This window comes from Homo sapiens, chromosome 12, assembly GCF_000001405.40.
Source record: "Homo sapiens chromosome 12, GRCh38.p14 Primary Assembly".
In the NCBI taxonomy this organism is placed as follows: Eukaryota; Metazoa; Chordata; class Mammalia; order Primates; family Hominidae; genus Homo; species Homo sapiens.
Genome location: NC_000012.12, coordinates 46,214,803 through 46,227,461, shown reverse-complemented (window position 1 = coordinate 46,227,461; position 12,659 = coordinate 46,214,803). Strand labels below are relative to the sequence as shown.

The 12,659-nt window shown below is 39.9% G+C and overlaps 1 protein-coding gene across 52 annotated transcripts in view, besides 4 other annotated features; it reads left to right on the top strand.

Moving 5' to 3' along the window:
* Positions 1-12,659, top strand: part of SLC38A1 (solute carrier family 38 member 1) — an 85,981-nt gene that overhangs the window by 41,582 nt on the left and 31,740 nt on the right. The window lies entirely within an intron of this gene.
* Positions 7,478-7,537: a silencer, noted in NCBI's record as "silent region_4381". NCBI's record gives its function as "represses an Ori minimal core promoter by ATAC-STARR-seq in GM12878 lymphoblastoid cells {active_cell/tissue: GM12878}" and the evidence as "EXISTENCE:reporter gene assay evidence [ECO:0000049][PMID:35858748]".
* Positions 10,892-10,951: an enhancer, noted in NCBI's record as "active region_6241". NCBI's record gives its function as "activates an Ori minimal core promoter by ATAC-STARR-seq in GM12878 lymphoblastoid cells {active_cell/tissue: GM12878}" and the evidence as "EXISTENCE:reporter gene assay evidence [ECO:0000049][PMID:35858748]".
* Positions 11,122-11,451: an enhancer, noted in NCBI's record as "active region_6240". NCBI's record gives its function as "activates an Ori minimal core promoter by ATAC-STARR-seq in GM12878 lymphoblastoid cells {active_cell/tissue: GM12878}" and the evidence as "EXISTENCE:reporter gene assay evidence [ECO:0000049][PMID:35858748]".
* Positions 12,013-12,072: an enhancer, noted in NCBI's record as "active region_6239". NCBI's record gives its function as "activates an Ori minimal core promoter by ATAC-STARR-seq in GM12878 lymphoblastoid cells {active_cell/tissue: GM12878}" and the evidence as "EXISTENCE:reporter gene assay evidence [ECO:0000049][PMID:35858748]".

Sequence of the window (12,659 nt, the reverse complement as noted above, 5' to 3'; positions counted from 1 at the left end):
TTTCCTGTTTCACAGATAAGGAAACTGAGGCATAAAGGGTAGCTTTAATTTTGGAATCTCTCTTGATCACCCTTCTGAGGATTTCCTCTACCTCTCTTCTTTGCTAGATCCATTGTTTCCTATATTCCATTTATTATTCTTTCTGGATTTACTTATGTGCTGTTATTGCTCAGAAAAGGTGACTGAAAATAAAATTTTTGAGACCTTTATTTCTGAAAAATATTTTTATTCTACTTTTACCTTTGATTGGTAGTTTGGTTGGATATAGAACTTTATACTAGCAATAATTTTCCTTCAGAATTTTGAAGGTATTGCTCTATTTCCTTCTAGCTTTTTTCTGTTGTGAAGTCCTATATGCTTCTGATTCCTGATCTTTTATATATAGCCAGGTTTTGTTAATTTTTTTTTTTTTTGGAAACTTGTCAAATCTCTTAGTTCCCAGTATCCTGCAGTTTCACAATGACGTGCCTTGATGTGGGCCTGTTTTCATCAATTGTGTCAGGCATTGGGTGCAATCTTTTCTTTTAGAAATCCATGGCCTTGGCCGGGCACAGTGGCTCATGCCTATAATCCCAGCACTTTGGGAGGCTGAGGCCGGTGGATCACCTGGCAGTTTGAGACCAGCCTGGCCAGCCTTGCCAACATGGTGAAACCCCGTCTCTACTGAAAATACAAAAAATTAGCTGGGTGTAGGGGCGGGCACCTGTAATCCCAGCTACTCAGGAGGCTGAGGCAGGAGAATCGATTGAACCCGGGAGGCAGAGGTTGCAGTGAGCCGAGATTGTGTCCAACCTGGGGGACAGAGCAAGATTCCGTCTCAAAAAAAAAAAAAAAAAAAAAAAAAGGAAATCCATGACCTTCAGTTTGGGAAATTTTTTTACATTATTGTGTTGATGAATTCCTATTACCCCCAGATTTTGGACCTTCTAGACTAGTCCTCTAATTTTTTTAATCTTTCCTTTATTTTCATTTCTATAACGTTTCACTGTAATTTTTGGGATATGTCCTCAATTTTTCCCCTCTTTATTGAATTTTTTATTTCTGTTACTATATTTATAGGAGCTTAAAAACTCTAAGAATGTTTCTTTTTAATATTATTTTGGTTCTGTTTCATGATTTCAATATCTTCTCTGAGGATTCTAATGATAGTTTTTTTTCTGCATTATGAAAAATTTAAAACATGAAGTAGAGAGAATAGTAGAAAAAGATTTGTATGTTTCCTTCCTTCTATGGATGGTTGTTTTAGTCAGTCCCCCACCAAGATTGTCTTGAAGCAAATCTCAGCTATTTTATTATTTCATCCCTAAATATTTTAGTATATATCTCTAAAACATAAGGACTCTTTTAACTCAATATGTCATACCTAGAAACAAGTCAACAACAGTTCCCTAATATCATCAAATATACAATCAGTATTTAAATTGCTTTGATTATGTTATGTTTTTAAACATATGGGTTGTTCAAATCAGTACTCAGATAAGGTTCACACAGTGCAATTGGTTGATATGTATTTTAAGTCTTTTTTAATTTATATTTTCCCATTTCTTTCCTTTTATTCTGTGCCACTTATTTAAGAAACAGGGCCATTTGTGTAAAGTTTTCCACAATCTGGATTTTGCTGTTTGTATCCCTGAGGTACAAGCTGATTTTTGTTTGTTTTGGGGTCTTTCACCTTAGACTCTTTGCCCAGATGTCAGATAGTTCCTCTTTATCTGCTGTCTTCAAGAATGGGGGGAAAACAAGGCTGATTTGAGCCTGGCGCACATGAGTGGGGCTTGTTCGCAATAGCTTCACTTAAGATGCTATTTACTTAAGATGTTCCTTTACTTGGGAACCACCAGGGTCATTTGTCTAAGACCCTCTTCTTTGGCTGTTCAGATCACCCAGAGAACAGCTCCCAATCCCCTGTTCTGGGGGCCTAGACCTCACCGCCATCTTTCTGGGAACCAAGTAGGGGGAAAGGGCTGGAATGATTATCCCAGCAGGCATGTGTTCACTCAGTTCCCAATTTTCATTAGAGTATGCCTCTTGCCCACAAATTGTGCCTAGTCTCTCACCTAGAAACATATATTGTATACTTTCCAGAGAACATATATTCAGATTGTTGCCAGGATAGGGGAGGACCAACCAGTCAGCTTTATGGAGTAGGACCTGGTCTGGGGAATCTAGCTATTTCTTGAAAAAAGTTCAACAGATCCTCACTATTTTAGCTCACCCCTTCCATTATCCCCAACTTTCAGTCATGCCAGCAGTGCCTTTTAGAGATTCTCTGAGGTAAACTGAGTTGGTCTTGGCTTTTTCCACTGCCGATTTATGGTTCAGGTCTGTCTGCTTTCCAGCTTTCAAAATTTCATTATTGTCTACTATTATATTTTATCCTAGCAGCTTTACGCCTTAAAAAAAATCTTTTTACTGGGATATCAAGGGAGAGGGAGTAAGTCCTTGTATTCAATCTACTATTCCTAGAATTCAATTGATTTTTAACTATACTGGCTGAGGGATAATTGACCTCCTATCTCATGACACTTTAGTGTCTGATTAAAGCGGGGAAGTGGAAAAATTTACTTTTGTAGTTGAAGGAAGATTTTTCCTGGATGAAACTATTATAGATCATTTAGTTATTTGTAAGATTCATGGATAACAAGCGCAACACACCAAGTCTTCAGCTAAATCTCATGAAGGTAGTTGTACAAAGGCTCAAACTTTAAGTTTCTCACTAAACTTAGGACTCTCCTACCTCAGGACAAGGATTCACTCTGTGACTCTTGTAAAACCAGCTGCTCCTACAACTGCTCAAAGCCAAGAAGCAGTTGGCAGGATCAAGATATTTCATCTGGTACAGGGCTCCATTCCAGACTCACATTGGCCAACACAGGAAAGGAGTCCAAGACTGTCCAGGCTTCTTTGGACCAGCAGCTGGGAAGGCTCCTTAGTGTCTCCCTGAGGCTGGGTGTGGAGCCTTCTCTGCAGTCATCTGGAAACTTGTTGGTGCGATTTCTTTTTCTTGGATGAGTTTGCAGCTCATTTTTTTTTAACCTATCCATAATGGCTGTCATCCCTGTTTAACACACTCTAATTCAGTTAGATTCAGTGAGTCCTGTCCTGTTGTAAGAATGGTGCTGGATTTTGCATTTTTCTGAATTCTGAGGATGCTGGTGGGCACTCTCGATTTATCATAGTTCTGCAGGTATATATCCTCTATGGGTAACAAAGTGAGGCTGGACCCTGAGGCTGCAAGTCAGGGATGTACTGAGGCACAAGTACCTCAGGGTAAAGAGTACTTGTTGAGCTGTTTTCCTGGGAGTGAGGACCCAAATAAAAGGCAATAGATGCTAAAGGAATTTCCTGCCACCATAACTTCCTCTTTATCTGAGTCTTACCCATAACTCCATCATAGCAGAAGTAGGAATTAGAAATCAATATTGACATGGAAGAATGGTGGGTTTTGTTTTGTTACATTTTGTTACATTTTCTGAAGATTTCTATTAAAGGCATACATTTTACAGGAAATTAATCTCTAGAACACATCTCATAGTACTAGGTAAGTATGATGTTTATTACACTACACAGAATCTGATAAAGCAATAAATGCTTTTTATTTTTCCATAACTTCTTAACATGTATTATTATTTTTATTTTAATAATGTAGTCCTTAAGTTGAAAACCATGAAAAACAAAAGTAGAATTCACGACACTTCTGAGATATCAGTTTATTATTAACACTGAGTTTGTGAACAATCTCTTTGAAATGTTAATTGTGAAACAAAAGTACAATGTGTGTAAAACAATAGTTTAAATTTTATTTGGTTGATTATAATACCAGACCTTTTGGATTCTTTTTTTCCATTTTCTATCTCATTTGTGTTGTGGTTGTGGGAGTGAAAAAGATAATTTATCTAAAAACAGACTTTGAAAAGTGGCATGCAAGGAGACTTTTATTAGTACCAACGCATAGAGCTACTAGGAAGAATAAATGAGTGGGGTGTGTGTGTGTGTGTGTGTGTGTGTGAATGTGAGAGAGAAAGAGAGATGGAGAGAGTGATAGTAGTGCGTGGTGCATAGTACACACTGTAGATATTTGTTAAAATACTACAGTTAGTATTAGGTAGTCACTAAATAATGGCTAACATTTACTGAACAGTATCTATATATGCTACACTATCTTAATCCCCACCAACAACATTATGAGGTAGGTATTAGCCCCATTTTACAGATAAAGTAACTGAGGCTTAATAACTTACCTGTGATCACACATTAGAAAGTAGGGGAGCCAGCGTCCCATCCAGGCTTGCTTGACTCTAGAGCCAGCGTGATCTAAAACACCATACCGCCTTTGGTGATGCCTTCTTCAGACACCAAAGTTGCATTATTACTCTACAACTTGAGAAAAACTTTATTTTTATCAACGGATGCTTGCAAGTTAGTACTTACCTTTTACTTTCCAATATAATGTACCTTTAAAATCACCTTATAAAATCAGCCAGTGTTCCTGAATTATCTTGCTAGTGTTCCACCAATAACCATCCCCTTTACTGTCATGAAAACAGCTTGGCAATATCAAGTGTACCAAACTGTAGACCGAGGATGTCAGGTTCCTGTTCACAACAAGTAAAATGTATGCTTAAAGTATATTGTGAAACCAATAAACCTCTCAGTGGCTTCATATTTGTCATGTGGGTTCCTGCATGTGCAATTTAAGATTTCCCATTGCTTTCAGGAGCTGTTGAACTCCTGAAAGAAGTAACTAAACATTTTGTTATTAAGAATTAAACACCAAGTGATAGCAAAATCAAATAATACCAAGTTTAACCCTAGGAAACTTGTTAAATAACCATGGTACTTTCATAAAATAGAGTATTAGACTACTACTTAAAAGAGTAAAATAGACTTATATGGGCAGGTGAGGAAAAATCTCCTAGGTTGTAACGGGGAACATAGTGTGTAGCACTATGTTACTGCGTAGCATAGTATTATTAATACTGTGTAGCATAGTACTATTACATGAATACAAACTGAATATTGGGTGGAAGTGAGCATGGAAGGAGGGTGTGTCTATATGTATACATTATATTGCCCAGAATATTTGGGGAGGGTACACAAGAGAACTGTTGGCAGTGGTTACTTCTGGAGAGTGAGAAAGGGTCTAGAGGTGGAGTGGAGATGGAAAGTTTAGACTCTTTGAATTTATTTTTAACCTGCTTTTAGAGGAAAAAAAAAAGCTAGTTGAAAAAATTGGTTTTTTGAAGAACTTAACACCAGTGCAGTAAGACTTTTTCTTTTTCCTCTTACCTGCTAAAAACTTGAGAGAGAAAATATATTTTTGGTGTAGATAGTTAGACCATGAAGCTAGAATGAGGACTCTGTCAATGCTGTGCCACTTGTTCCAGACTGTATTTTCAACCTCTTTTCCCTTCAGATGACCTCAGCTTCTGCCACACTAACCTTCCCTTTTCTGTAGAGGCTGCCTGCCTTAAAACTGTTACCTTGGTCTTTCCAGAGCCCACCCGTACCCTGTCTCATCTCTGTCTTCTGAATCCTCATGGTCCTGGAAGGCCTAGATCAGATGTTATCTCCTCCAAAACTGCTTGTCTGATCCTCCCAGGTGGAAGGGAGGTCTCTCTTCCTTTCCTTTTCAGTGTCATTTGTATCTTTCTAATAGTAAGTATCACTTCCATTATTTAAGCATACATTTTACCTTCCCTATTGAATGCTGAGCCCTACAAGGGCAGGATTAATGCCAAATTCTTCCTTGTTGAAATCATCTTCCTCCCGCTAACACGATCTAGAACAGCATTTGCACGTAGCTGCTCCTCAGCAAAGTTTTACTGAAATAAGTGAATGGATATGTAAGAATTAGATTTTGCAAAACCAGAAACAAGGCTTTAGGGCAAAACAGTGGCTTTCATTATTGTTGCAAATTTATCAGAGAGAAAAAAGATCAACTGAAAGGTTTAGTTCACCCTCAGACTTTTAGTAGGCTGTGGAGATGTGATAATAATCACAGAGTCAGCATGGGACTGGCTGCTCATTGTCTACTTTCCTAGGAATGCCTCCTTCATTTGAAAATTCAAAATAGTTCTGAGACTGCTAAGAAATACTAGATGAGGTTGGTATTGCAAAAGGGCATTTGTTGTTAAATTGCTGTTTGGGAAAAGGACAGTAATTGTCATTGTCAGTTACAGCAATTATCTTCACTTTGGTGGATTGTTCACTTAATTGTAGGTGAATTCTCTGGCCCTCTCTCCCTCCCTGTCTCTCTGTCTGTCTCTCAATATTCTCCTTTGTGGGCCATTTGTAATTATCCTACCAGCAAAACTATGCACCATTGTATTGTCTATGATCCATGTTTACAAACAAATCAGTTAGTACCCCTTCCAGTAAGGATAAGTCGAAAAATATAAGGGTCTCTGTAAACTGAGATCAGACTACCAGGTCCCTTCTCTCTTTAAATTTAGTGTTTTACAATTGAGCCTACATAAGGAGTAAATAGAAATAGAAGTAAAAGTATAGACCCATCAGCACGTTGCCCTAAGTCCTTGCTTGTATGTTATGGGAATTTGATCATTATTATCCCATCACAAAAAATAGTCTTCTCATTCTATCGGGAGAATTATATTCTTAACCAATTGCACCAGCATCACTTTCTGATGTCTCTAAATATTTTTCAGCAAATTCTACTAAGTTGCAGTGAGATTGCAGCATACCTTTATACAAACTTGGCCTGCTCTTAAGCTATCGTTGCTTTATTACTTTACATATATGCCAAAAAGGTTGAATGACACCTACCAAGATAATAATTTTGCTCTCAGTGGCAACGAAGATGGTCTGTGTGCTATTTATCAAGTTATTCCTTATAAATGGTAAGTCATCTCCTCTGTGCATTCCTAAGTGAGCAGTTCTTTGCCTCCTTAGGAAATACCAAACTGGATCTTGTGATCTAAAGACAGAGCAGTTAAGAGGAAGTCAATAAGGAAACCCTACTCTTCCGGATGATCCTAGGAGGTCCATCGGACTAGTCACATTCATCTTTCCTCTTGCCAATCAGTTTCTTGTTTTTAGAATTCTTTGAGTTATAGTCACAGTTCCTTAGAAATGATTTGAAGAGAAAATTGTCCTTTGGCTGGCAGCAAAAATCATTGACATCAGAGTCTGTTGTTTGGGAGTAATAACCCGGGAGAGGGAGAAATGGCACATTCAGGCTTGCCAACATTTGAAATACATGGAAAAGGGACAGTGGCAGTGCCATTGAACTCTATTGAAATCCACTGGATTAAGAAGCTTTTCAGAAATAGGGAAATGGGAAAGTGGTTAGCATTGCGTTAACAATGAGTGCCTATTTTGTAAACAGAAATAGTTGGCATGTGTAGGAGATGAGTCCCACTCATTGTTTTTAGAAGTTGAGCAGCTATTGCTAGTTTATGAGTCGTCTGTGATGCATCTGATAAGGGGGTTCTAAGAATTCAATTCTCTTAGCCCCAGAAAGGTAGGGGTGTGTGTGCGTGTGTGTGTGCGCGCACATGCGCTAGAGTGTATACCCTGAGTTCACTCAGTCCTATTTATGCTGAGTTGCCTCAGGTGCCTTGGTCCTATCCAAGGACAGCAGTGTGATCTCTGTTTTGGTACAGTGTATTTTTCTTAGCCTGCAACAGACAACTTAACTATACTGGCTATGGTTTTACAGCATTATTTACCTCCATGATTGGTAGAATGCCTTCTCTGCTCACTCATCTGGTTTACAGTAGGCCAGGTTGGAGTTATCACAGTAGAGCAGGTTAAGTGTGGTGCAGAGAGTTGGATTTTCAAGGTTAGCTTGAACTTTTATTACTCACAGAGTGGTAGTTGGTTTAATTAGAAAACTACTCCTTTGTGGGCCAGTTAGTTTTGCTTTGTTCTCTGGCCACAGACTTTACCTTATGTCAGGCACATGATTTCAAAGATCTGCATCTATATCAGGGGTCAGCAAGGGACAGCCTGCAGACCAAAGCCACCCGCAGCCTCCTTTTGTGTGGCTGGCTAGGTAAGATTGACTTTTAATTTTATAAAGGACTTTAAAAAAGAAAAGATAGTTGTAAAGTGTACATTGTTCCATGAGATCTTTATAACAACCCTGTTAATTACCCCCATTTTATAGATAAAGAAACTGAAACTGCCTTTGCAAAATTATAACCAAGGAAATTATGACAGTGAAAGAAATCAGACCTAACCAACTCTATCTTGCTTCTAACCCTTAAGCTGTCCTTGTTCATTCCTGGGCATAGGCCGAACTAACTTTGGGAAGGAATTCAGTTCATGGTTTGACTGAAACAAAATTGGTAACAGCCCTTTTCCAAAAAGACCCCCTTCTTGCCTGGGGTCCAGTCTGCCTTTGCAGGACTAACAAATTAACTACACGATTAGAAATTACAGTTTAGGGGTCATGCAGCCTCTGGCTCCAAGAGTCTGAACCTCCCCAAATTGCTCCTCGGGGTAACATCATTATTGTAAAACCTAAGATCAGTGCTTGAGATATTTTGCAGAGCTGTACTCCATGTATCAGCTGACACCACCCAGACTGGTAATCTCGCCCAACCAGTTCTGCCATTGCACCCAGGAACAGAAGACAGCAAGAAAATCTTACTTCACCCCCCTATGATTTCATATCCAACTTAACCAATCATCACTCCCCACTTCCCAAGCCCCTAGCTGCCAAATTATCTTTAAGAACTCTGATCCCCGAATGCTCTGGGAGACTGATTTGAGTAATAATAAAACTCCGGTCTCCCACACAGCTGACTCTGCATGACTTACTCTTTCTCCATTGCAATTCCCCTGTCTCAATAAAGTGGTTCTGTCTAGGCAGCAGGCAAGGTGAACCCATTGGGCGACTACAAAACTAAAATTAACGGAGGCTAAGCAACTTGCCCAAGATGACTGACATCTGTGGGGAGGAGAGCAACAAGTCCATTGGGTGCTCCTCTTAAACCGCCTATTTCTCCTTAAATGTGTCTTGTTACCACAAAAACAGAATGGGAAAATATGAATGAAGCCCCCAATCCACCTTTCTACCGGAACAAAAGTCCCAAATACCCACCGAGAACAGCATATTCCTTTACTTCAACAGTCACATGGGATTTTTCTGTCACTCAAGAGTTAACATCTTTAGAATATGATAAAGAGTAGGGATCTAGGTTTGAGGAGAAGGGAAACGACTTGTCCTTGTGGAGTGGGAAAAGAGGAACGAGGACACATCAAGAGTGTCAAGAGTTATAAATGGAGTGCCCACAAAACCCACAGCCCTCTACCCACTATAGGTTAAAAACAGGAAGTGGTAGTGGTACATGGCGCTCTTTCTCACTGGTACAACATCCTCATTTAAGCTCAGACCTCCCTTTAACTTTTTTACAAAGAACCAACTAAACTAAAATTCTATTTTTACTGGGATACTTCTTTTAGATTCCTCTTTCTTTTGAGGATTATATTAGATACTATTTGAATTGGCCATCAGCAATGCATATTTATTTTTCTAGACAAAACAAAATACCTAACTGACAGTGAGGCTAGTTTAAGAAAAGCTTTGCACCACAGAGCTTAGATTTACCTACAAGGAAAGAAATGGAAAGAACGGTACAAATAATTGCTCTCCACCTGTTTCCTGCCTGGCCTTTTAAAACCACCCGTTTAATTCCCTAATCTAATTTGTAAGCATTATACATGATCACATGCTACAAGGTCACCGTGTGCTGGTCTTCTGACCCTCAGAATTTTGAAATTTGATCAGAATTTAGTGACTAAGAAGTCCACTTTAGGACTGAATAATTATGTTTCTACTCCTTTCTGTAAGTATTTTGTGAGCTCCTTAATCAAACAGGGATTCTATTAATGAGCTTAAGACTTAAACAAATGCAACTCTCCCCTAAAAAGGGGTTAAAATAATAATACTGTCACTTGAAAAGTTCTTTATATTTTTATTGTAAAACTAAGATAACCATTAAACCATTTTGAAAATGCATAAAATAAATGAAATAAAGTATAAAGAAAACACGCAAAGTCTCTCTGTTCGGAGTGTTCAGGCTCACCTTAGACAAGCTCCATTAACATTTCAATGTATTTCATTCTAAGATTTTTGTTTGGTCTTATTTTTTACAGTGTTATTCCACTCTGGATGTTTGACTTTGATAGACAATGCAACGTGATGGGTAGGGACTTTGGAGTCATACTACCAGGGTTTGAGTGCTCTGACACTAGCTGTGTGACCTTAGACAAAATACTTAACCTCCTTGTTACCTTATTTACCTTATCTGTAAAATAAGGATAGTAATAGTACTACTCATAAGTGAAGTATTTTAAAAAGTGCTTAGAAAGGGCCTGATATATAATGAATACCCCAACATTTGGTACTATTAATGATCAGTAAAGTGTTTTATTAATTATATTGAATCCCTTAAGGTAAATTAAAGAGCTTGACAAAACCCATTTTCATATAAAAGATCATTTTGAATTTTTCAAAATATTTAACATTTTCATATGAATTTAGGGACTCAGAACACCTTGTCCCTGTCTCTTTGCTTTTGGGCCTGCCTCTTTCCATCTGAGCTCTCATTAAACAAAGGATTTTTTTTTTTTGAAACGGCATCTCACTCTGTCACCCAGGCTGCAGTGCAGTGACATGATCTCAGCTCACTGCAACCTCCGCCTCCCGGGTTCAAGCAATTCTCCTGCCTCAGCCTCCCGAGTAGCTGGGACCACAGGCATACGCCGCTATGCCCAGGTCATTTTTTGTATTTTAGTAGATAACGTAGATACGGGGTTTCACCATGTTATCCAGGCTGGTCGCGAACTCCTGAGCTCAGGCAATCTGCCCACCTCTGCCTCCCAAAGTGCTGGGATTACAGGTGTGAGCCACCGCGCCTGGCCAGGATTCTTCTTCTGTGTCTCTTTCCTCACCACTTAAGTCTTCCATTGGCATTGCTTCCCTAGGCCAGAAACCACTATTCCTGTCCTCGAGCCTCACTGAGAGCCTCTGGTCCCTCACTTAAACCTTCTACTCATGCCCTACTTCCTGTTTCCACTGGCTGGCTGTCACACTTGCCTGGAAAACCCCTGAAGCTGTGCTTTCCAACCACACAGACACGGCGACACTAAGTTCTTGGTCTGCATTCTCAGTTGGGTCCTCCCCACAGTCCAGCCCCTCCATCATTTTCAGCTAGTGTTCTAGTCTCTTCAACAATGTTTTCAAATCTTTATACAGGTATTTCCCCTAGAATAATTGGGGGTGGGGATGGAGAAGCAGGGAGAGTTGGTGGAGATGAAAGATGAATGGGAAAGTGCAAGGTGAAGATGCAGGAGGGTTGAGACCCTTGAGAAAGGTAGACTAGAAGTAAGAGGTAGAAGAGGGTGAGGGAGAGGCCAGCAATAGCAGAAAGGAGTGGAGAAAGATAGGCTAGCCCAGAACCGATGCATTTCCTATGGTTTGTCTAAGTTCCTTGTCCTGGATTTTAAATTTTTCTTGTAAATACTCTGCCTCAACAAGCAGTATGTCTGTAAGTTTTGGAGTGAGGGCTGTGGGTTATTAGGAGACAGTGATAGATCAAAGGAGGACTAGTAATAAAGACCACTTTTACCCCAGCTCAAGGAGTTTTTATATGTACTAGCCTGCTTGTTTAATTGAGGATAGTAAAAGTTTTATACTTCTAACTGGATCTAGAAGAGGAAGAATTACATAGTTTAGTAAGCCTCAGATCCCTTTTGGAAGGAGTGAAACATGGGGGAGGGGAGGTTGAAAATAGAATTTAAATATATGTCCTGCTGAAGTAAATAATGCTTGAGGTGGGCAGATCACCTGAGGTCAGGAGTTTGAGATCAGCCTGGCCAATATGGTGAAACCCGTCTCTACTAAAAAATACAAAAATTAGCTGGGTGTGGTGGCATGCACCTGTAATCCCAGCTACTCAGGAGAGGCAGGAGAATCACTTGAACCTGGGAGGCAGAGGTTGCAGTGAGCCAAGATTGTGCCACTGCACTCCAGCCTGGGTGACAGAGCAAGACTCTGTCTCAAGAAAAAAAAAAGTAATGCTTGAGGAAGTCAACCAAAGGAAGCAGATGAGATCTTACTTTTCACACTGGAAGCTAGTCAGCATCCCACAGCAATGAGAATGATTCAGTTGTAAGTGCTTTTCGTCACTGTCACCTTACTTGGGTAGCCGTGGGGTCTGTGTTTACAGGTAACTGAGCTGCAGTGTTGGCACAGCACCTCACCACAGACAGTGTGGCGGGTGATGCACAGCACAGTGTGGTGAGAAACAGAAAGAACTGGAATGTATACACCACAAGGCCAGAGCTTAGGGCTTTCAGTTTTGCTGCTTCCAGGGAGGTCAGTGGACCAGTAGCAGCAGCAGCATCTGGCAACTTGTTAGAAATGCTGAATCTCAGGTCCCGACCCATCCATTTTAACAAGATCCTAATTTGCACACACGTTAAAGTTTGAGAATAGCTGCTTTCAACTTTGCAAGGGAGAGTCATGCTAGGGAGGGCTGGCAACGGTTCTCTCTTTTTTTGGGAGGAATGGGTCCTGGAGAAGTTGAAAGCACTCAGCTGCAAGGCAGCCCCAAACACCCCCATCTGAGCTATTTCTGGATCTGATGCAGTGACGGCTGCTTTACCTCCACCCCTACCAAAGGTTC